The 25283-nt window shown below is 38.0% G+C and overlaps 1 protein-coding gene across 8 annotated transcripts in view; it reads right to left on the bottom strand.

Moving 5' to 3' along the window:
- Positions 1 to 25283, bottom strand: part of TENM2 (teneurin transmembrane protein 2) — a 1285129-nt gene that overhangs the window by 1217752 nt on the left and 42094 nt on the right. Inside the window, exon 2 of one of the 8 annotated variants that reach the window (XM_047417418.1) lies at positions 21963 to 22042. The exons of the other annotated variants lie outside the window; for them this stretch is intronic. The gene's annotated coding sequence lies outside the window, so the exon portion shown is untranslated. The remainder of the gene's footprint in view (positions 1 to 21962; positions 22043 to 25283) is intronic. 8 annotated transcript variants of the gene reach the window in all.

Here is a 25283-nt window from a genome sequence, read left to right as displayed (position 1 = left end):
AATATAAAAAATGACACTGATTAACCTTTAAAATGGTGCCATTTAATCAAAGCAAGTAGATCTTTAATGGGTTTTAAATGGACTAATAAATCACAGGCTTTTTTTTTCCAACATGGAAATAAACGAAATATTTGGGGGAAAAAATCCCATTACATCTCTGAGAGTGTTTGTGTGAGTGGGTATGGGCAGGAGGAGAGGTGAGAGACGTCCACACAGAGTTATTTTCCACATAACTGTGATTTGGAAGGTAACCACAGTACCTTTTTTTTCCCGTGAGTTCTTAATTTGTTAACTTCTTGCTCTGTGTACTTGAAAGCAAGACAGTAAGTGGCTATATCAGTATGTTTTCAGGAATCTTGACAAATTTTGTGACTGGAACTAAGAAACATAGTGGAGCCTCATGTAGAAGGCAATTGATCTATCTCTCTAGGAGAAACTAATCAGAGAAAATGAGTATGTTTTACTCTTTCCACGCTTCCCTCTGACATTACTAATTCTCCTCAGGTACAAATGAAGAAGCAAGCAACCCTCAATCTCGTAAAGTGCAGATTGGACTCCCTATGTTCAGAGCTCAGTGTCTGAGTGAATAACCCGTTGGTTTGCTTCCAAATGCAGCATTCTCTATGCTTCCCAAGGATGGGCAGGCCCATCTTAGCACTGGAATACATCCTCTGCCTCCCCTAGAGTTGCTTAATGCAAACCAGTTGAGTGAATAAACTGGATAAAAAGTGACAGCTTGATAATGATAGACTAGCTGTGCTTTTCCTTGAAACTATGTACAGAGTTAAGCATGGGAGAACATGATGCCACTCATAAGAAATTGATGCTTAACTCTAAATAGCCATCACAGGACTAGCTGAGGAAGGTGCCAGGGCAGGGCTGCAAGGTGAAGGAGAGAGAAGAGGGAATGGAGAGGAGCTGCACCTGCAGAAGAGAATTTAAAAATCAGGTAGAGGATAGGAATGGAAGGGCCCTTCAGCCAGCCCTTACTGACAGCCAGCATTTATGAACACTTAGAATGTACTAGGTACTAAATGGAGTGTTTTACAGACACCATCTCATTTAATTTATATGGCTCAAGAATGGTGTTTAGGTGATTAATGTCATGATTTTACAGATAAGGAAACTGAAGAACAGTGAGATAATAAAATTTGTCCCAGTACACATAGATAGCTAATAAGTCCGGAATTTAGATTCAGAATAATACAGTTTTGGAGGAAACACCATCTCCCTTCTTCCCCACCAAATAAGTCCATACCCATGGTATCCTCCTCTTCTTCTTCCTTGTCAAATGCAGGCTTGCATCTGTGCTGTTGATCACTTTCATCCCAGAACTTTATCCTTTAATTATGCCCCCTCATCTCTAGGTCCAGTCTCTCCATTCTAGTGTTCTCTTCCCCATCAGCTTCTGAAAGTGCTCAAATCTACACTCCCTCCTCAAACCTATTCCTTGCTCCCTCCATTTTCTCTGGACACCATCTCTTCAAGCTGGAAGAGTTGTCCACACTCGGTTTTGCCTAACTTCTCTCTTGCTGCTGCAATAAGTATCTGCACAAGCATTCCAAAAACTGCTTCTGTCAAAGTCACTTATATTTTACTAATAGACAAAGCAAATGGATCCTTTTCAGAACTCATCTTCCTGTGGCTTGAGTCTTCTGGCTCTAGTGCCCACCTGTTGAAACATTACACTCTTGTCCTCGGAAATATGAGCCCCGCTGGTTCTCCATTCCTTAGCAGGCTTCTACACCAGTGGCTCTTCCTTTATGTGCCTGAGACATATTGGTGTCACTCAGTGGTCTACCTGTGTCATTATTTTCTGCTAACTCTCTATGTGATCTCAGATGGCCACAATCTCTCATGGTCTTAAACAACATTGGACACCCTGATGGGTTCTTAACCTGGATTGCTAACCCATATTTCTCATCTGAACACTGGAGCTGCATATTTCATTGAGTTTTGGACACAATGACCACATAGATGCATGCTGTAACCTACACTTAACATATTAAAAACTGAACACATTGTGTTCTTAACATTTTTTTCCTCCGCAAAGTCACTTTTCGTCTTCACACCATTCATATAAGTCAAGATGCTGGAGCCATCATACTTGATACTTCAATCTCCCTGACAGTATTTTTCCTTTGTTCCTCTCCTAAATAGCTCCTCAATCTGCCAGATTCTCTCTAATACACCATCTTACTTAGTCACAGTGCGGGCACTTGCCACTTTTGACTGGGCTGATCAGATAGCCTATGTCTTCTGTCTGCCAGTCTCATGCCTGCCTTTTCTAATGAACCGTCTTCACTGTCCTTAGAACAGTCTTTCCTTCCTTCCTTCCTTCCTTCCTTCCTTCCTTCCTTCCTTCCTTCTGTCCTTACTATTTATTTGAGATGCAGTCTCGCTCTGTCACCAGGCTGGAGTGCAGTGGCGCGATCTCGGCTCACTGCAACCTCTACCTCCTGGGTTCAAGCGATTCTCCTGCCTCAGCCTCCCGAGTAGCTGGGACTACAGGTGTGTGCCACCATACCCAGCTAATTTTTGTATTTTTAGTAGAGACGGTTTCACCATGTTGGCCAGGATGGTCTCGATCACTTGACCTTGTGATCCGCCCACCTCGGATCACGCCTCGGCCTCCCAAAGTGCTGGGATTACAGGCGTGAGCCACCGCGCCCGGCTTAGAACAGTATTTCTAAAACACAAATCAGATAATGCTTTACATCTGCATAAACCCTTCACTGTCTTCCCACTGCCAATATCTTTAGCTAGACTATGTAAAATTCGTCCACCACTTTCCTCTTCAGCTCTGTCTCTCAACACTTGCCCCACCATTTCCAGGTCTCTCACACAATTAGGTATCCCGAGCATGATGCACTTTTTCACATCTCTGGGTATCTGCACACCCAATTTTTATTTTTTCACCTTAAATGCTCTTTCTTGCCAATAAAACATCTATTTTCTCTTCAACACCCCACACACATATAAATTACCTCCTCCTTGAAACAGTTTTTGGTCTTTCCCCGACAGAAATAAACATTCCTTTCTTTGACTGTATCTGCAAATTGCATGTTGATTTTAGCATTTACACTTTATACCATAATTTTATCTTTATACAAGTCTGTCTACCTCACAAAACTTTGAAATAAAAAGCTATCTTTTCAATCATTTTGTTACTTCCAGTACCTATCATAGGGCTTACCACGCAGTAGGTGCTTCATAAACGATTGTTGAGCTAAACTAGACACTGGATAAAACCTTTTGTTTTAAGCTTAAGCAAATGAACAGGTAACTTCAATTATCTAAAAAATAATAATCAGAATGACATAGAAGCAATTTAGCCACAGAACAAATTTATTTTGGAGATCAATAAATTAGAAGTCAGGAATGTATCGTTCCAGAGACTGTGGTGTCACTGGCCAACTGGAAGTCCTTGGACAAGTCCTTTATCTCTGCTGGGTCTAAGCATCCCATCTGGAAAGTGAGGTAAACAAGATAATCCCTAAAATCTCTTTAGCTTTCAATCATCTACTTTGTTCCGAGGTCATATCTGACCATACAGGCTAACATTCAAAAATAAGGATGAATCTGACTAAACAATTGACCTACCGAAAGAAAAATCCTATTTGTTGTAAATAACCAGAGATATAAGTAGAAAGGCATAACAAATTGCTTCCAGCCATCTTCCAAAAAGTATTTCTATAACTGAATCTTTTCATACTTAGCTCTAGAAAAACTCCTCAAAACTGTCTTGGAAAACAGTCATTTGGCTAGGAAATGTATGTCTTTATAGACACATCAAAGGTATCTCTCTATCTTTTCCCACACATTTTTGAATCAAGTACACAATCATATTATAATTCGTGGTTCTAAGTTTCCCCCCAAAATATCAAATTCTTCTTTGATTCCACACATCCTGAATATTTATATACCTTTCAAGTCAATGTAGTTTATTGAAGAAAGAACATAGTTCAGTCACGTCTATTAAATATTAAGTATTTTGCTGCAGAAGGAGATACAGGTACACAGCTGTGTGATCAAAACCTCCAGAGATACAAACGTGATGCTACTTCCCTCTCCTTTTGGTTGCAAATGAGGAAAAAACTGTGCAAAAAGAAAACTTGCTTAAATAACGTGGTGAGCAATAAGGTGGTGTTAAAATGAAATGTGTTTGAAGTTGCATATTACATCGAAAGGAACACTACTATAATTCATAGTGATTAATGTTAATGTCAAAAATATTAAAGAAGTAATAATGATTTGTATCTTCATGTAATGGGCTACCCTTTCTTTGATCTTTTATTCCCTTTGATCAAGGAAATTAACGGGTAATAAATTTCAAACCAATAAAGATGAATTCATTCTCCCCCAGCACATTGGTCAGCCTGTGGGAATAACTTCCACAGGAGGTCAGACAGACAAATGCTAAGGCTGGGGTTAAAAAGGGATCAGATAATTTTATGACCATTAATAACATTTCCCTTGCTGCAAGCTCACACACACATAAGGGGAATCCAGTCATCCTTTTGGGCTCAGACTAATTACCTTCTGGGTGACAAAGAGACTGCTAGGCCAGCACACAGCATGGACCACTTGTGCCCTTTTGGAGGGGGGAGGTTTGCTTCCATTTCAGTGAAGAACAAAGTCAGCTAAAGACTCTTACTTAGAGGCCCTAAAACCTGAAAAGAATATGGTACTTCTTTCGTTTGTAATTTTTTAAAAGAACCAAAATACAAAATCATAAATGCATAATTTCATGCATGTGCTGAAATTAAAATGGATTTTGTCCCCTAGATTTTCTTTTTGGTTAAAAAATTCAAGACTCTTTTATTAAAGCTAAATTGTTCACAACATTTTGATGTTTCTGCTTTCCTAGGACTCTGGACACTTCACAGTTTGCCTATTAGGTAATTGGACACTTCGTGGTCAGGGTGAAGACGAATGGTGCTCATAGTCAAGGGAATCAACATATGCAGGGTTCCCTGGCTCAAGTCCAGAGGAGAGTAGCAGAATCTGTTTCAGGAACTCTGCTTCTCTAAGCATTGGTAGTAGCTGTGGATATCTGAGACCTTTAGTTAGTGCTGGTTGCGTAAATTACGGCCTGTGGAGGGAATCTTCTCTATCAAAGGTATTACCTGTGACATTCCTTAGGTATTATTTCTATACCTCTAAAGAGATCCATAGCTGCATCCATATTACTGTGTAGTACCTGGAAAGTGTTGAATACAACCAGGGAAAGGATTCAGTAAACACTGTATGTCACAACTTGAATGCCAATGGCTAAGGCAATGCCTAAGGTTTACGTGATTTATCACCTGCATACATGTGGCCCTTAGTTTATTGTATTCTGCTCCCTTTTCAGCAAACATCTGATGTGTCAAGGAAAAATGAATGAACCTTATTGGTATCTAGTAACCTAAGGGCCATTCAAAACTGACCACCATATTGATAAATAATTCTCTTCACAGCTATTAACAGCAGGATCTCACGATTCTCTTAATAGGCTTATGATATACAGACACAATTTACTTCCATAAAACTGCAGGAGTATAGTTCTAGTTGGCTCTGCTGTGAGAAAATTCCAGATCATCAATAAATTATTTCAAAGATTCATTAAAGCTCAATGTATGCATAGACTTCTAACGGCAGTAAAACAAAATTAATAAGTGGGGAAAATATTATATATATGTTTAGAATTTATAAAATACAGTGTATGGAAATATATTTTTCCCTTTGCATGGTAATTCATTTAGACCTCTCCAAAGAAGAATAGCTGTTGAAAAAGAAGGGTTTTTTTCAAAACCAGATTCAGACATGAGGTCCATAAGTGACGAATAGGTATTCAAGGTCTCAAATAGCACTCTTAGGTATCTGCAAGTTTGTCATCTCACAGGAACTCTGGAATGTCACCTCTTTTCTGCTAAGTCTTTGATTGGCTTCTGTGTTCCTGACCTAGTATCATGATTTGATTGCTGTTTACTATTTCAGTTTAGTGCTTAGACTTACAAGGCCACACAGCTCACCTGGGGACTTTATCGTCAGCCTTCTTTCAACCCATTTAAAGACTGCCTCAATTGTTAACTTCAAATTCAAGATTTACATCAAGGTTTGCTTCTTCCGGGACAACAACTCCTTGGCCTTGTAGGTCTGAGCACTACACTGAAATTGTAAACAGCAATCAACTTGTGATACTAGGGTCAGGAACACCATTCCTAGAAAGTTTTGTTGTAAAGCAGAGCACAGAAATAGGGCATTAGCTAGATAGAAGTACAAGATGAGGAGATTTGATTTTTGATATAGTGAAAATAACAGCATGTTTGGAAATACTTATATTTACTTATATGAGTAAATGAACCTTACAAATCCTATTTCTGCTGCCAGACAGAAGGCTGTGTCTCTATGCAGACAGATACAAGCCTATTGTAAATACCAGAAACAGAAGATTATTTGAGTCTTAATTTGAGGACTAAGCCCCACAATGCAGCCATGTCTTCAAACATAACTCCTCTCAGAATGTATATTTGTGGAACATTAGCTAAGGAGGTGAACTCCTGTGCTTTTTTTTCTTTCTTCATTTACGATAATAAAAGATTAACTTATTTATTCTATACTCAAGGTACAAAAAATCCATTTCAGAACCTTTAGTTATTTTAGTTATAGTTGTAAGTTTGAAAAAAAAATACATCTTTAAAGTGAAACCAATGCTAACACTTATGTAAGGCTTCATATGTCATAGGTGCACAGGTGTTTTTGGTAGCACCCAATCAAAGTCTGATGTCACTGCAACATTTTTTTTTGTTAATTGACATTTGCATCTGCTACCACAACCAGAAAGGAAAGCAAAATATGACTATACAATTGCAGTATGAGCAGAGGCCACATTGGCCTCAGGTGAACAAATATGTTACCACTGGAACTATTTCTATGAGCATAGATGCCTAATCTGCAAATTACAATGCTAATATCAGAGGTATGATAGTCCAAGTTTCCTGGCCAGTGCGCCTTCGAGGACACCCTATCAATACCTAGAAACGTTGCACTGAGATTCTCTGCAGATTCTGCCCTAGGTCACTGCAAGAAATCCTGAGGTTATGAAATCCAAGAATCTCCCCAGTGCGGGGGTCTGTGCCAGCATATCTTGCATTGAGCCAGTCAGTCTTTGTCTGCTTGCAAACATCTGGAGATAGCAGCTCACTCTCACAGGAACACCCAGCTCCAGTGTTTAAAAACAGCTCTGAACATGTTAAAGTTGTAATTTAGGTTAGTGTATAATCTCCCTTCCTAGAATGCTTCTGGTTTGATTCGATGAAGACATACAGAATTAAATAGAGTCTTTCTCCCACAATATATAAAGATTGGCACCAAATTCTCTTTACATCTTTTATTTTACAAGCTAAATATGCCCCTTGCCCCTATATCTGTTCCTCAGTTGGCAAGGATCTCAGATGCTTCATCATCCTGTCACCTTCTCTTGATGTTTACATTTCTTACTGAATTTCTTTGCAGCCAAATTTGGGCTTCATTTCCAAAAACTACAAGAGATAAAAAGCAAATCTCAAATAAAAACTGAGTAAACCGAGTCCAAGGAGATTCCAAGCTGTTTCACTGAAAGAAAGTCTCATCACTGACTTTATATTCTTAATAATCTCTAAAAGCAAAGAGGTAAGTGTTAAGTTGAAAGAACGGAATTACACAGGTATAAGGTGAAAAGAAACTAGTCTTGGCCACTGCTCCTATTGGCCACAAGACCGTTCTTGTGGGGATGGCTATTTTCTGCCATTTAGGGAGAATCTAGCCTAACTCTAACTTTTCTAATCATTCTCAGATAAGAAAAGTCTTTAAATGACTTTTAGTTAACAAAAATGCTCTTGTTCAATAATTAAAATGTTCACTCCAAGATATTAATTTAAACAACTCCACAGTTCATTTAAAGTTAAATGATTACATCTCTCCTCCCTCAACCCTGCTTCAAGCCTACAATCCCTGGTCATAGAGGACAGTCGTGGTCCTCCGTATCTCAGTTTATTGTTTTACATTTCTCCCCTTCCTCTGTTCCCAGCTCTGTTGCCCTGGTTTCTGATGCTTCCAGGATTGCAGCAAGGAAGCAGAGAAGGTATAACAGATATAGGTTACAAAAGACCTCGTGTGACTAGCACTGATGCAACCTAGCCATGGAGTCCTTTGGTCACGGAAGATGTTTCATGACTGACTGTTCAAAGATTTTCTCCTGCGCCCTTTGCCATTATGAGGACTTCTCAACTGCAGATCCCATGAGGAAAGCCAATGTGTCTACTGACTGAAACTAAGAAGGTCCCTCAGTCTTCATCCCACAGACATCTCCAGTCTCTTTCTCCTGTACCTGTTCTGCCTTCCAGGAGGTCTCCTTTGGGAAAGGTTCTCCCACAAAGTGGGCAGAGAAAGCACATCGTTTCCTTCAGTGGAATGCGGAAGCATAGGCCATTCCTAAGCAGTCCCTCTCCTTTCTCCTACCCCTAGCCGTGTTGTCTCATCTTATATTCTTTGGAAGTGGGAGTGGGTCTTGAACCCTCTGTGCCTAAGAGACTGCAGGAGACCTGAGTCACTCTCTGAAGACTTACTCAAGGGACCAAGGTGACAGGCCCCTTCTTTGCCCCTTCACAAGTGCCTGTACCTCTTTCCAAGAAATGTCACTTTCCCTTTACGGTTCCTCTCTTTGCCTCTCTTGCCTCTGTTATAGGAAGGAGGTAAGTGGTCATCTTGGGGTGGCAAAAGCAGTTCCAGGCACTCCTTCTGCAAGTTTTACATGGTTGGGCTAGGACCCTGTGACAGAATGGAAGGAATTAGGGTCTGAGACAGAAAAGGAACAGAAAGAGGGTCCCAGTATAACTCTCTCTGTAGTAACAAAGTGAAAATAGCCAGCAACGAATCCACGTTGTTTTTATTTTTGGATATATTTGAACAAGTGTCTAAACAAAGAAGTTAAGAAACAAAAATCTCCAAATCATAGAACTTAGTGGAAACAACAGCAATAAACAGAAGTGATTTATAGGACCTGAGATCAGTTAAGAAAAATTTTCTCCTGAAATGATTACCTAAGTGCCTCCAGAAGTCAAATTACCATAACATAGCTTCAAGCTTGCTGCACAATGATATTGGAGTCCTGTTTTCCAAAAAATGAAAAATAGCAAGTTTATGAAGTGCTCAGTTAAAATCTTCCTCAAAATACAATGTGAAATGTCCTTGTCAGAACTGAGGAAAGCAATAAATCTTTACATTTATTCATTATGCACCCAATCTTCTTGTAATAGAAACTAAGGATTCACAAATTCTGGTTTCCAAGCCAAATTCAGATCAAAGGAGAGATAGTTTGTTGAAAATGGGATTGAGGATCCCAAAGCAAAGTAGAATTTAAATGGCAAAATATATTCGGTGTGGGAGGGTTTGCCAAGTCTCACTTAACACCTTCACTAACGATCTAGGCCAGAGAAATAACAAGTTAATGAAACCTACAGGTAATATTAAGTTAATGGGAAAGGCAAAAACTGGTAAGAGATCATAAGAAGTCTTTGGAGGTTAGAAAGAGAAGCAGGAAATAAAAAAGAATTTGAGAAGGTGAATGTTTAACAGGATAAGGCCCTTGGAAAGCAGGACAGCTAAAAGCAAATTCAACTGATTACGCAGACAACTATAATATCCCAGATTCAGTGCCACAGGAAAATAAACACCAACGTCATTTGGTTCTTCTTACTCAAAGATACAAAATAACAGGTAGGAGAAGGAAAACTTCATGAAAGGACGTCTCAATTCTGGGGAGGGGTGAGGGGAGTATTTGCATCTCAATAGAATATAGTAAGAATTCAAAACAAATATTGATATAATTTAAGAATCCACGATATAACTTAAGCAGAGAAGAAATTAGTATTACATAATTTAATGTGATAATTGTTGTATTGGGTGACAAAGTAGAAAAGCCAAGATTTTGAAGAGGATAATTTATAAGTAAGCTGTATTGGAAATGTGAAACAATTATTTAAAACAAAACCAATGAGGCACAATAAACAAGAAATATAGCCTGAAATAGCGTGGTCCTCACCTACCTGTTGAGCTTCATCTCTTTCCAAATTTATTTATGTGATCCAGCCACTGGCTTTTTTTCTGATCCTTAAAACAAACCTCCAAGCTGGACCCCGTCTCAGGGCCCTGGCACTTGCTTTTCTCTTGGCCTAGAATTCCTCCTCCCAGACTTTCCCCAGGCTGGTGTCAGGTAAATGTGTGATTCTCAGAGAGCCTTCTGAATGATCATACCCAAAACTGATCTTCCTTTCAAGTCAATACCTCATTTTCAGCTTGTTTAACTTTCTTTGCAGGACTTGCCACTATCCTATTATCTGGCCAGATGCAGTGGCTCATGCCTGTAAACCCAGCACTTTGGGAGGCAGAGGCAGGTGGATCACCTGAGGTCAGGAGTTTGAGACCAGCCTCGTCAACATGGTGAAAGCCCATCTCTACTAATAATACAAAAATTATCTGGGCGTGGTGGCAGGTGCCTGTAATCCCAGCTACAGGGGAGACTGAGGCACGAGACTCGCTTGAACCCGGGAGGCGGCAGAGGTTCCAGTGAGCCAAGATAGTGCCACTGCACTCCAGCCTAGGTGACAGAGTGAAACTGTGTCTTAAATAAATAAAAATAAAACTATCATCAATTCATCATGTGCTTGCTGGCATAATCTCTGTCTCCCCTTTTCCCACTTTGAATACAAGCCCTGCGAAGGCAGGCTTCTTTTCTCCTTCGCTATTGTATCCTGAGCTTCAATAACAGCATTTGTCATCTCTCAATATATGGTCACTGATTAAACAAATATGTATAACCTGACCAACAGATAGGAGACTGTGAAAATACTATCAAGAATAGAAGAAAGTTGAGGTAACATAGAAAATGGTGATGAACGACATCATTGTCAGTGGCTAACATCAAATAATCTGAATTTAGATTAAAGTTTTAAATAAGCAGATGCACTAAAACATGTTCTTCAGAGTGGTTAAACTTGCCAACTCTGTAATTACACATTTGGTCATATTAGTCCTCGAATTATGAAATTTCGAGGATCACTCATCTAATAGCATCAAACCAATGTGTATATTGACTCATGAAAATTCATATGAAGTTAACTACCATGTGGTTGCTTCCAGTTTTCTTTTTTTTTTCCAATAGAGTGTAATTAATGTGTGCAACCTAATGAAATATGCTGCAATTAAAGAACTACTATGCATAGTAATATCTCTGCTTGTTTCAAATAAAATACAGTCTGTGGTGACATTTCAGGAATGGAAAGTATGAAAAGCAAAATTAAATTGTTATTTGATTTCAAATTGCAGCTGGGTACCTGAATGCAAAGACTGTCTATGAAAAACTGATTGTTTAATGTACCCCCTCAACCTATCTTAAAAACATTGTTATATGTGTGTAGGTTTGTTCTTTACTCATAAGGAAATACAGCTTGGCCCACAAACCAAGAAATACTAAAGCACTTTCATTTGTAACAAAAAACCACCAACACAAATGCCCGGCATCTTAGAAGAGTACTAATCCTCACTGTAGCTGAGAATTTCTGGGACTAGGGCTTCAAATCAAGTGAAGTAGGGTAACCCACCCATGACTTTGAGCCTCAAAGAGACTCGGAAATTGTCGACACAGATAGAGTCTCTTGGAAAAACCAATTGGAGGAAAATAATAATAACAATTCACACCAATTTTCCTGAACCACTTTAAAATATTTTCTTTTTTTTTTTTTTTTTTTTTTTTGAGACGGAGTCTCGCTCTGTCGCCCAGGCTGGAGTGCAGTGGCGGGATCTCGGCTCACTGCAAGCTCCGCCTCTCGGGTTCACGCTATTCTCCTGCCTCAGCCTCCCGAGTAGCTGGGACTACAGGCGCCCGCCACCACGCCCGGCTAATTTTTTGTATTTTTAGTAGAGACGGGGTTTCACCGTTTTAGCCGGGATGGTCTCGATCTCCTGACCTCGTGATCCACCCGCCTCGGCCTCCCAAAGTGCTGGGATTACAGGCGTGAGCCACCGCGCCCGGCCAAAATAATTTCACATGTACACCTATTTTTCTCTTAGCTATCTTTTGTTACTGACCATTGGAAGGAGTACAATATTGGGATACCAATGCAGGACAATGAATTAGTTTATCATCTCATTCTAACATGTATAAGCGAATCTATCATGCCTCAAGCCCGTACATGCTATACTCTGATATAGAGCATTATACCAAAGGGCTAGTCTTAGTTGTAGGCAAACAACTATTTGCATTATTATCTTGAGGAGTTAGAAAAATTAAGGTACATTTATGGTCAGAAAGATGGGTGTTTCCTTCAGAATACACAAGAAAAATATTTCATCCAAAAGATTTTCTTCTTATATCTTTAAATACTTGTTTTAAAGTGGGAAAAATAAAAAATCTCTGGGTTCTACAACATGATATAAGAATTTTATGTGCAGCATTAGTATTTCTTGAGAATCTGAATACCATACTCCACCTCCCCTAAAAAATTTATTGAGTCACACATGTTGAATGACAGTTAGGTGTTGACAGTGTGTCTACTTACATTTGCTAAAAACAAAAATGCTTTCTGTAATGAATATCAATGTTACTCAGGGTAATACGGTTAAGTTACTTATGTTGATATGCTTACCTACTTTCAAATGATCCCACTGTAAAAGTTTCATTGTCATCTCTCTTCAGCATTAGGAACAAAAATTCTGTAATATATTTTCATATAAAAGATGGGAAGCGACTGTACAAAATTACTATAAAATAAACTGAAACTGACTAGCTGGCTCTCATATTTTTAAAATGCATGTTCAACAAAAAGAAATATCAAGCAAAATTGCCAACAAATCTTTCAAAGGCCACTCATCAGTGCTAAAGACCACAATCAGCTTGTCATAATTAACTTCATAACTAAGGAAGATAAACGTAAGCAACAGCACACAGCCCAAATCACAGCTTGAGAAATGAAATTGAAATGGCTAAAAACTGAACTTGAGCCAAACTGCTTTATCCTAGTCACCTTGTTTCATAAATCAAGTAGAAGAATATCTGTACATCAGCAATGTTGTATATTAGTTCAGTTTTATTGATGTGAATCGCATTGTTTTACGAAGTGAACTTTCTCCAAAAAATAGCACGAATAAAGGGATGTGAATTATAGATGTGCATCATCACAATATACTATTGACTCTAACTTTAATGCTGTTTCTGCAGATATTACTAACCTGCATCTTGTCCTTTTGATCAAACACTTGTCTGTCCAGGATGTGACATGGAGAAAATTATTCCAGCAAACCTATGGGCTTTCTGCTTTTTAACTTCTGTCTCTCACTGACGTTTTCCCATTGCCCTACCTACATGAACCTACTTGGTATTGCGTCCAATAATTACACCTTAATTTTTGAGCTGAAAAAGAAAGTCATTCAGGTGAGAATTTTATCTGTGGGAACCTTGTGTTTACCACAGAGAAACTTTAAAATATATATATAAGATGGCAAGAATAAAGGTGCCAGGAATAAAGGTGACAAAATCCTTCAGCTGAGTTAGAAATAAGGTATGTAAATAGCTCTGTAATACCCCCACATTTTCTAAAAATATCAAATGCAAAAAGAAAAACAAGAATATAGTAACCACATTTTCAATGTAGTTGGAACTTGCTGCCTTGGGGTGAGGAAAAAGTAGGGGGAAAGGAGAGGAATCCAATTCCAATTTTCATTGCACGATTCCCATACGTATCTATCAGAATAGTTCTCTTGGCCAAGTATTTATTAAAAATCCTCACCCAGTCTGCTTATAAACAATTTGAAAACTCACACATTACAATATTCATAGCTGTGTTCAAGAAGTGACCTTCCGAGCTGACTTTATTGTGAACTATAAAAAGTGCTAGCTAATAAAACACAAGGGCATTTCGTTGGTTTCCAAGATTTTACTTTCTAGGTTTCTCACCCCCTTCAAAAATCCCTCCTACCAGTGATCAAAACTGTTTTGTGACTCACCCTTGACTATACAGAAACCCAAAAGCAGAGGCAGCAAAAAACATGTATCCCACTGAATCGTAAGGAGAGCATTCAATGCAAATTTTAAGGACAGATTTGCAGATTGTACCACTGCTCTCTGTTGTGGCTTATTTGCTGTTTAATTACATGCATGCAAATTTTTTGAGGTTTTACCCTTGAGTATGTATTCTACGAAAGCTCATAAAATTCTTGAAATTAGCTATACTTGTAATCTTATAATATTCCCCAGACTGTGAGTAAAATTGTACTTATTCACTTAAAATTAATATCCTTTTCTGGGTTCTCTGTGGAATTCCGAAAAAACATTAGCCGCAAAGTTCACAGACCTAGGTGTTTTAATCCAGCAGTCATGGCTGTCTACCTTCTAACTATGGCAAAACATGATTAGAAAATGTCCTGCTGCTCAGAGCCTCAACCTATGAAATGAATTTGCACAGAGGTCATTAAGTAGTAAAAAAACAAAAGCAATTCTCAAGGCTTTTAAAAAACTCAAATAGGCTGGGGGCAGTGGCTCAAACCTGTAATCCCACATTTTGGGAGGCCAAGGTGGGCAGATCACCTGAGCTCGGGAGTTCGAGACCAGCCCGACTGATATGGAGAAACCCCGTCTCTACTAAAAATACAAAAATTAGCCGGGCGTGGTAGCGCATGCCTGTAATCCCAGCTACTCGGGAGGCTGAGGCAGGAGAATCGCTTGAACCCAGGAGGCGGGGATTGCAGTGAGCCGAGATGGCACCATTGCACTCCAGCTTGGGCAACAAGAACAAAACTCCATCTCAAAAAAAACCTCAAATATGCAACAGAATACAAGGAAATATGTGAGGAAGAAACCTCTCCAATGTTAACAAGCCATTCATTTTGCTCTTGTTATAATTGTAATTATGTACGTCCATGAAGTTGTCCTATTTCAGAACCAACTACTGACTCAAGCACTCAGATGACTGCGTTTACTAACTTAAGTGGTGTTATGTGGGAATCCAGGCTCAGGGAGGCCATTTCTTAAAAATCTGGATTAAAAAATAATATGAAACTTCCAACATTAAAATTCTCTGTAGCTTTGGTTGAAATGAAAACTGGCCTAGATTGGATATTGCACTGAAAAACAAATACCCTCTGGCACGTCTAATGAATGTTCCCATGAAGTGGATTTCTCAATCCTAGACTTAAACACTATTTTGTAGAATGAGCCTTTTAGAAAATCTTGCCTTTTGTCTGGATCTCAGTTTTCCCACATTTAAAGGGAAGTTTGGATTGGCTTCCAAATGTCTTTCTGGGGAACTGCTTCTCGGAAGACGCGGCTCACTTCTAAAAGGTTCGATTCCAGATCTACTGAATCAAATTGCCAGAGAAATGCCCAGGAAGCGGCATGCTCCGCAACTCCTTAGGTGATTCTGATGCAGAGCCCGCAGGTGCTTAGGCGCACCGCTACATGGACCTGGATGAAGGCCTTTCCGTTATAATACCCACCATCAGCCCAATGAGCCCTGCAGAAAGTGAGAGGGAGGAAGAGGTGGTAAATAACAGGGGTGTCTGGCAGGCATCAGCAGTAATTACAGGTAGGAAAAGGGTGTCAGGTCTTCCTACAAAGAAGCTCCTTCCCTTTTCTTCTTGGGACTCTCCCACCCCCTGCTGGTAGGACCCAGCATTTCTCATTTCCTTGCTCTGCTCGCGTTACTACAGGGACAGAAGCGAGGAGTAGAAAGGAAGATGTAAACACGGAGCTGGCTCCTGGAAGCGGGGAAGGAAGGAGAGATGTCAGAAGAAAGCAAGCAAGTGGAAGTTAAGAGGAAAAGAGCAAATCTGCATGGGGCACAGGTCACGCGCCAAGTATGTCTGTAGGACTAGGTAAGTAATGAAAAGTAAAGCTGGGTAAATAAAAAAAGAGAGAAAGCGCTGGGGGTAACGGGGCAGGAGCAGGCAGTCCACCTAAGGCGGCCACTGACCAACTGCAGTGATGTGGGCAAGGTGAGCCCAGGGCTGTTGTGGCTACCAATTTTTTCAAGAAAAGCCAGAAATTTCAAACTCAGAAATTTGGATTCTATTTTATTTTAAACTCCCAACATTTAAAAGTTTACAACGAAACATTTGAAACAAAAACTCCACATATCAAATCGGCCTGTAGTCTGCGTCTGTTGCCTAAGGAGAAGTGTGAGTGTTCAGAAGGTGGTCAGTGAAGAAGTAAAGAGCTCAGGAAGAAAAACGTGATACAGAACAGTAAAAAGGAATTGGTTTGCAGTGACCATTGAATAGAGGATGAGGACGTTGTCAGCGATTACCTAGGATGTTTGGTCGACCCCTGACGATCATGGATTTAATTTGTTTGTTTTTCAGAAATCACTGACTGCTTTTGTCAAAATCAGAAGAGTACTCATGTGGCTATTTGAAATTTTGTCCTGGTAAAGATCCCATGCATTGGCTCCAGGGCTTCCAGGAGTCAGGGACTCAGGTGGTTTGCAAGCAAGGCTCAGCCAGGAACCTCCTCACATCCACTTTATATTCCCTTACACAATTGGAATAAAATGTTTCCTTTGTTTTCACCCCTGCAAGATGATTGTGAAAATAATAAAGTAACATTCATTAAGGATCAAGTGTCAAGTGTGCAAGGTTGTGAGAACCATGCCAAAGCCCTGACCATGGCCCCTGGCACACAGCACTGGACAAACGTCAGCAATTATTAACATCTGTTGTCCCTGGCAACAGCCCCATGAGGAAGGGATTTTTATTCCAATTTTAGAGATGATGAAACCGAGATTAGCCTGATAAGTCACTTGCCAATATACTTAGAAAGCAATGGAGCCAGGTTTGGGAGGTTTTACTCACTAGTCTTAACTCCCAGTGCTGAAGGGAGATGTGAAGAGAAAGGGCAGGTGTCCACCACAGCACAGATGCTGAGCTGCTGCCCTTCCACCCTTGCACAATCTTTCAGACAAACTAAAGCATCAATTTCACCTTAACTATTGGCTCATTAGAGGCCAAAGGGGATCAACGAAAATTTTTAGTTGTCTTTATTACATTTGATGAAGAAAATGGTATTCTTGCTATGTTTAAGACCTTGAGAATAGTACAGGTCAAGGATCTGTACTATTAGATGGAATATCAGGGAAGAAGAAAGTACTTCAGCTCAGCTTCCTATACTGAAAATTATAATGCAACGGGAGATTTAGTCATCAGGAAATGAATCCTATGATTTCAAATACCCAGGATATATAAGCCATACAATTAAAATGACTTGGTTTGCTTGAAATAAAAAACTAAAATTAAGTACAGTGTTGTTTAACTGATCAAATTAGACTGCTGAGTTACAATTTTTCATGTCTTGCTATTAAGAAGTTTAATGCTTTTCAGAGCTTCAACGGTATTAGAAAACCTTAATAAAATGCAAACACATTAAAAAAAATTAGACCTGGAAGGGTCCTTATAAATAATTTCTTATAATTTCCTCCTCATCTAATAAGTTCGAAAATTTAGATCTAAAAAGAATGCAAACACAGGCCTCCAATCACATTGCCTCATTAGTGGCAGAGCTTCGACTGCTTGGGACAGGTGCTACTAACAACCTCATAGATGAAACCAATTTAGTGTCTTTAGTTACCTTACTGAGCGGACACATTGAATTGGATTTCATTTTCTAAAGAGAAAGTACATAAATGTGTATATATTTATATATGGCATACATAAATATGGCTATTTGATGTATGTTTTATATATTAATATCATTTACATATGCTGTATATTATTTGATATATCTAATATATTGTTTTTACATATTTTAAAAACATACTCCCACCTAAAAAATTCACAAAAGAAATTTGGTAAAGAAATATTAACCAAATATATAAAAATCAAAGTGATACATTTTTTCATGTAGATTGGCAAAGAATAAAAACATGATAAAACACACTGCTGGTAAAAACATGGGTAAATCAACATTAAATTACTATCTCTGTAAATATGTGTCAAAATATATAATGTATATGTATATCCTTAGATTCATTAATTCCAATACTAGGGATTCATTTCAAGAAAACAGAGAGTTGTCTAAAAATACCTAAATAAGGATGTTCATTTTTATGTGTCTTGTAAAAAATTACAAACAACTTAAATGTTATGGTGACAGAATAAATTCTAGCATATTATTCAATGACGTTCTTGGGCCACCATAAAAAATTATATTGCCCTTTATTCATGGGAATGATGGTAAGCTTCTAAAAGAGAAAAGGCAAAAAGAAGATGCTTAAAATATAAATGTGTCATCCCACCTACGTAACTTTTTTTTTTTTTTTTTTTTTTGAGATGGAATCTCACTCTGTTACCCAGGCTGGAGTACAGTGGTGCCATCTCAGCTCACCACAACCTCTGCCTCTAGGCTCAAGCGATTCTCCTTCCTCAGCCTCCAGAGTAGCCGGGATTACAGGTGTGCGCCACCAAGGCCCGGCTAATTTTTCTAGAGAAGGGGTTTCACCATGTTGGCCAGGCTGGTCTTCAACTCCTGACCTCAAATGATCCACCTGCCTCGGCCTCCCAAAATATTGGGGTTACAGGCATGAGCCACCGCACCCAGCCCACTTATGTAAAATTTTATATGGATATCTGAAACAATATGCACCAAAGTACTAATATTGCTAATCTTTGCCTGTAAGATTTTAGATGATATTTCATTCTTCTTTAAATGTTCCTGAATTATTTAAATCAAATTAAAATGATCTTGCATTATAATCAGGAAAAAGATCAATAAATATATTTCTAGTTTGAATTTTTTTCAAAATTAAAGTACTTTTTCTAAAAATAATACACGATGATCTATACCAATGGCATAATTTTCCAAATTTTCCAAAATAACATGTTACCATTTTTTAAAAGTTAGCAGTATTATCCTTATGATCCTAACATAATTTTAGATATAAACTAAATGCTAATAGATAAGCATTTCATGAGCTTTACCAGATGAAAGGATATTTGAATTCAAGTAGAAACTTCCTCAATATCTAGCTGGGCGAACTGGGCTCAACCAGTGAACCTTCCTTAGACCTCATTTCCTTCCTAAAGCATTAAATGAGAAACTTTAGCTTAATGACCTCTGAAAATATTTTTATTTCAAAAAACCAAAAGTAACTCTCAAAACTTCAAAATGTGAAATAATTCCTTAGTAATTTACATCCTCTGAAAATATCCCCCAACCCATCCTATGAATACAACTCTAGGTTACAAAGGATAAAATCATATGTCAAAGTTTCTCAACTTGGTTACGGAAATGTGAAATTCTTCCATAAGTCCTTGAAGAGTCTCTTAAGAACTAAACAAAATATACATTCCTATTCTGGGGTCTTACTCCAACGATAGAAGTTGATAAGCGGTATCTGTTCTTTTGCTTCCCAAGGGCTTTGCTAGCATCTTAGATATAATCATGCACTACCACCAAAACGCTGACTAGTCTGAAAAAAAAAATCAGTGGGTTCTGCTTCAAGTAGCTCATTCGCTATGTTGCTACCATTTTCCAAAAAATCCTGTTTAGAATTGATGCAATGTGGCTTGTCCTTTGGGCTTGAAGATCACTCCATGTGGGGTTTTAACCAAACTGGAAAACTTCCACACATTTGTAAAGCAAAAGGCACATTTCAGGATATTCATTATCTCACATCAAATAAAGCACTCAAGCCCCATCTCTAAAAGTCTATACGCCTCACCGGGAATCAGATGAAAATGATCTCATACTTGCGCATGCTAAAGACCTTAGGTTTTTTTGTAGGGATGGAGAAGGTGTGGAGTTACAGAGGACAGATTTAACATTGAAACGGATCAGAAGTGGTGGATTCATTGGCATACTTTGGCTAGAGACAGAAGTGTGAGAGGTATATCAAAATTGCTAGCATGAGTGATGATAAACAACAACTGACATTCAGCTTCAGAATCAGAAAAACAAGAGGGAATACTGGAGACTGTCAATACCTGGAGAACACAGGTGGCCTAAAGGGAATAGCTTCAATTCAGCTCAGCAGATTACCACTATGTGGAAACGCAGGCCTTGTGTTGCCAGTGCTACTTTTTATTATTTTCAAAAGAAGCTGCACATCTAAGTTCTATCCAAATCTGTTTGATTCCAAAATGCTAGCAACCATTTGTTTTTAACCCTGTCTGAGCCAACACTGCAGTGGGCAAAATCAAACAGGATTATGCGCCAGATTTGGCTTGTGGCTGACCAGTGTGCAGTTACTGACTCAGATACAGAATACACAAAACATATATAATCACTGCCAAAAGTAAAGTATCTTAAAATATATATTAATAGATGCATATTATCTTGTTTAGTGGGGGAGCTTCATGAACAAAATAACCAGGGCAAGAAAAAAGGATAGGGATGAAAGGAATTTAGAGGGAAAGCTAATCACCACCAAAGGTGTACAGACATGAAAATTTTCATCCTTTTTGTTTTTTTAAATATGGGGGTTCAACTGAGTTGAAAGATTACAGGTAGAGAGGTATGAGGTAGAAGAAAGCTCTAACTAATGAGAAGCGGATTATATACACCAGGCACTATACTAGGAACTTGACATACTATCTTCGTATTTCATTCTAATGGTAATGTGGTAATATTACTCTTATTTTCTAGATGTGAAATGAAAACTGGCAGGCATTAACCAATCTATAATCTGACAGCACAGAGTTGGGATTGATGTCTGTCTATAAAACTCAAGGTGCTTTTTGTTCTGTTTTTGTTTTTTATTTTTTTACCCAGCATTCTGTGATACTGGAAAGTAGGTTACACTTACCGTCTAGTGTTTCCCTGCCCAACAGGGTAGGCACTGGACATATATGGGCAATGAACACCTGAAATGTGGCTAATATGACTAAGGAACTTAGTTTTTAATTTTATTTAATTAATTTACAATTAAATTTTTAAATGACGAAATGTATTCAGTTATTGGAAAACTTTTAAATGTGTGATGAACAACTTGTATATGGAAATCTACTTTTGTAACTATAAATTTTGTACACTCCAAATGTATATCAAATAGTTGTGATGAATATTTATAATCTGAATTAAGATGTGAGTAAATACACACTGGATTCCAAAGATTTAGTATGAAAAAAGAATGTAAAATATTTTAAATATTTTTAATATTGACTACATGTTGAACTGATAATATTCTGGCTATATTGGGCTAAAAAATATATTATTAAAATTAACTTTACCTATTTCATTCTACTTTTTTAAGTGTGGCCATTAAAATACGTGTGGCTTGTATTATATTTCTATTAGATTGCACAGATCTAAGCCAATGTTTTTCAACATCACCTGTACCTTAGAATCAACTGGAAGCTGGATAAAAATATCACTGTCAGTCTACAATTTAATCACTTTGGGGGTGGGACTTGAGCACTCGTATTTTTAAAAGATGTCTCAGTGACTCTAATGTGTAGTGAGAAACAGAGGTACCATGCTTGAGAGATGTAACTTCATTCTGTAGGCAGTGGGAAGATGCTGACAAATTTTGAAACAGGAAATAACAGAAGGCTATCAGGTGTTGAAAAAAGATGAATCTGGGAATCTTGGGCTGAGAGGAATATATGCATGGATGCTCCTTCATGGTCCAGTCTGCTTAACTCTCAGCTTCATCTTCACCATTCTAGCCCTGGCTTGCTAGCATCCAGCCTCAATGACTTTCTTTCAGCTCCTCGACTGGCCAAGCTAGTCCCACCTTTAGGATTCTTACTTGCTGTTGTTTCTGCCCCCACAAAGCTCTTAATGCAGATCCCTACATGGATGGCTGCATTCTGCTACCCCTGTCTCCCAACCCAAATCTGATTCCCCAATATAAAATAGCCTTCCCAGCCCTGACCCTTGGTGTCTCTCATTCCCATCTCCATTTTTCTTCATCACCCTGACACTGCCTGAAAACTGCTCATTTATTGCTTACCTTAGTTCTTTCTTACTGCGATGCAAACTGTAGGAGAAGAGAGGATTTGTCTCTGTTGCTCACTGTTCTGTCTCCAGTGTCTAGAACAGTGACCAGCAAACAAGGGCACTTCAATAACTATTTAATGAATAAAAGAATGCACATGTCATACTTAACAACAAATTGTAAGCACAATGCTTTGATTTTCTAATGATTTACCAAAATTTTGAGATGTTTGCATAGTTTTAGGGCTGAAGACTAAACCCAAAAGAAATAATGAGAGACTCGATTAACACTCACTTTTGGTAAATCTCTATTCTTAAAGCTAACCTGATTGCTTGTCAGTTTGCTTGAATAGCCTATTACCTTATTTTGAAGTAGATGTATTTAAATTTATCTAAATGTGTTTTCCTTGAATAAAATGCCAGACTTATGAATTTTTAAAAAATCTCTCGATCTCTCATGTCCATGCATATATTCCTATATATATATGAATTTTGTATATTTGATGATGGTAGTTTCCATTAGCAAGCCTTCTTAAATAATTTGCTTTTATAAGTAAAGTGTTGACCTAAAAACAAATCAGTGCAGATACTGGGTTTTCCGTCCAACAGTAGAGCAGAAAAGTGCCGCTGAATCTAGACTTATAGACTTACATTAATATGTGCCTCATTTACTCCCTAATAATAACTTGGAAACTTTCATATTGCAATTTCTATCTTGGACATATAGATGCATTCTCAGAGAACATGTTTGCTTGAGAGTACATAAAACTGAAAAGATAACAGCTAGTGGTTATGAAAAGAGATTATTTTAATTCATTGACTGATTGTACTGCTGTTCTGGTCAACACTGTAAATATAAACAGTCATCCTTCAGAGATACAGGAACAAAAGAATGACATTTTTATTAGATGCATTTTACCTTCGAAAATTATCAACACTTTTATGCTCACATGGTGAGTCTGTAGTATTAATATCACATCTGATTTCTCTGAGTCTCAAAAGATTTTCAACTAACCCTCTGATGGTTTGTGTCCACACAAACCAATAGAAGGATTACATTCATCCAGGTATGACTTTCTCATCTGTGACAGGTATAATGTGAGCAATACTCTTTACATATTAAGTCAAGCATAATTCAAGAAATTACCAATGTAAGTTAATACCCTCCATTTCATTTTAACCACTTCTGAACACCATGCATTAAAACATTTTAAGATGGAAATTGCTAATGAAGTTTAGTTGCAAGGGAATGCAAGTATTCCTGTTATTGTCCTTGGATTGGACCCAGTAGAGCAGAACGTTAGCATTATTATTCTTCATTTGTCAGTTGCCAGAATCTTAGAAGCTAAAATTCTCAGAAGGGGGATGGAGGGAGCATTTAAGAGGGTCAGTGGGTAATAAGTCCCAGAGGCCATATTAGTACACCACAGCTCTGAAGAAAATGTTTCTATTTAGCTGGATGATGCCTTGGCAAAGTATCACAGATCACAGAGTAAATAGGTTGTGCTTTAGTCTTTACTAACTTAGCATACATTTGAACATTTATTTAAGATGCTCATGGTAAAATGAGCAAAATACATTAATATTACAAATTCCTATGTAGCCATTACAGTGAGGATCCCAAAGTCAATGGCTTCCAGGAGACAGTGAGATAAATTAGTGTAAAAGGCAAGAAGAAAGACAATGACTAGGGGAAGGGGCTGTGGGGTCTGGAGAGTACATGCTCCATAAAGGGAGGGGCAGCTGCATTTCCAGCCACCTTATTGTTGTCACTTAGGCGTAGTTTTGCCAGATCGCCAAATTTTTCAAAAGAAGACAAGGAAGTGTATTTCTATGTAAAATCTTCCAAATTTTAGAAGGAGACAACTAAAATCCACGTTTATAAAGATAACACGTGAGTTGAGTTGCTAGATTTAGAAAATAAAAATACAGGACATACAGTTAAATTTGAATTTCAGGTAAACAATGAAAACTATTTTAGCATAAGTATGGCCTAGACATTGTATGGGATATATTTACGTAAAAAGTTACTGGTTATTTACTCTGAAATCCATCTTTTAACCATGTACTCTCTTTTGCATCTGGCAACCTTTGTAACTGGCTATCATAATTTGAAACATATTTGCAAGCTAGATTCCTCACTTGGACTGCATCTACTTTTAAAAAGTCCTGCCTTCATAAGCTCCAATTGACTCTTCATTGGAATATTTAATTTGAACCACCATATTAGACTTTGTTATTCAATTACTGTGTTTCTGTTTCTTTGGAGTCTTGTTTTAACAAGCAGATGTTAAAGAATTTCCTCTTCTCTTTCTTTGATAATAGATCTAACTTACAGAGGTAAGTTCAAGAACAGAAGAAATGTTATATGAAGACCCTTGAATATGGGTGTTGAAGAACATAAACCCATAAGAATTTCCATAGTATAAAATAATTTGGACAATTGAATCAAGGGCAAAACAACAACAATAGTAACTAGCATACATTAATATATACAATGGGTTAGGTCTTGTCAGGCCCTTTTATATCAAATTGCTTAATCTTTTTGTTTCTATGAAGTGTTGGCACTATCATTATTCTCATTTTCTAGATGGAGTACTGAGGCACAGAGATGCTAAATGTCTTCCCTAGGGTAACACAGCTAGTACATGACAAAACCAGGATTCTAACCCAGATGTTCTGGCTCCAGAGCCTATTTACTCTATTATATTTTCACAAAGCACTAAAATCAGTAAATAGGAGACTGAAAGATAAGCAGCTCTAGGCAACATCCATCAGTTTTACAGAACACTGAGACAAAGATGTTTGAGTCAGGTTTAGATTCATGAACAAAGATCTGCTATATACAAAAAGCAACATATGGTATAATCTGTGCTGCCCTTTGGACATGCATAGATAAAAACAATACTCTTCCAAGATAATCTCTTCTTTAAAAAACTACAACACGAAGGTGAGAGGATAGCCTCACAGTCAGAAGAATAAAGTGACTGGCTTTATGAGTTGTTCTGTGAATTTTATGTTCTGTGCATTCTACAAAGTAATGGGAAATTAAATTAACACAGTTTTTTATAGCATTTTAAATTTTTACCACAATTAATTTCCTGTACTACTGTATTTGGTTCTGCAGCAATCATTTGAGTACATTTAACTCACATATATAATGACTTCCTCCAAATCAAAGAAAGTCATTTTTTTTCTTACTTACTTCTTAACGACCCACCTGTCTGCCTTATTTTATGTGAAAGGTTATAAGGCATAGGCCACTTTTGCATCTTAAAGTGAAAAGAAGTTTAGGCCTCCTTTTTATTTTATTTTATTTTTATTTTTTGAGACAGAG

Source organism: Homo sapiens, chromosome 5, assembly GCF_000001405.40.
Source record: "Homo sapiens chromosome 5, GRCh38.p14 Primary Assembly".
Taxonomy (NCBI): Eukaryota; Metazoa; Chordata; class Mammalia; order Primates; family Hominidae; genus Homo; species Homo sapiens.
This window is presented reverse-complemented; position numbering and strand designations above follow the sequence as displayed.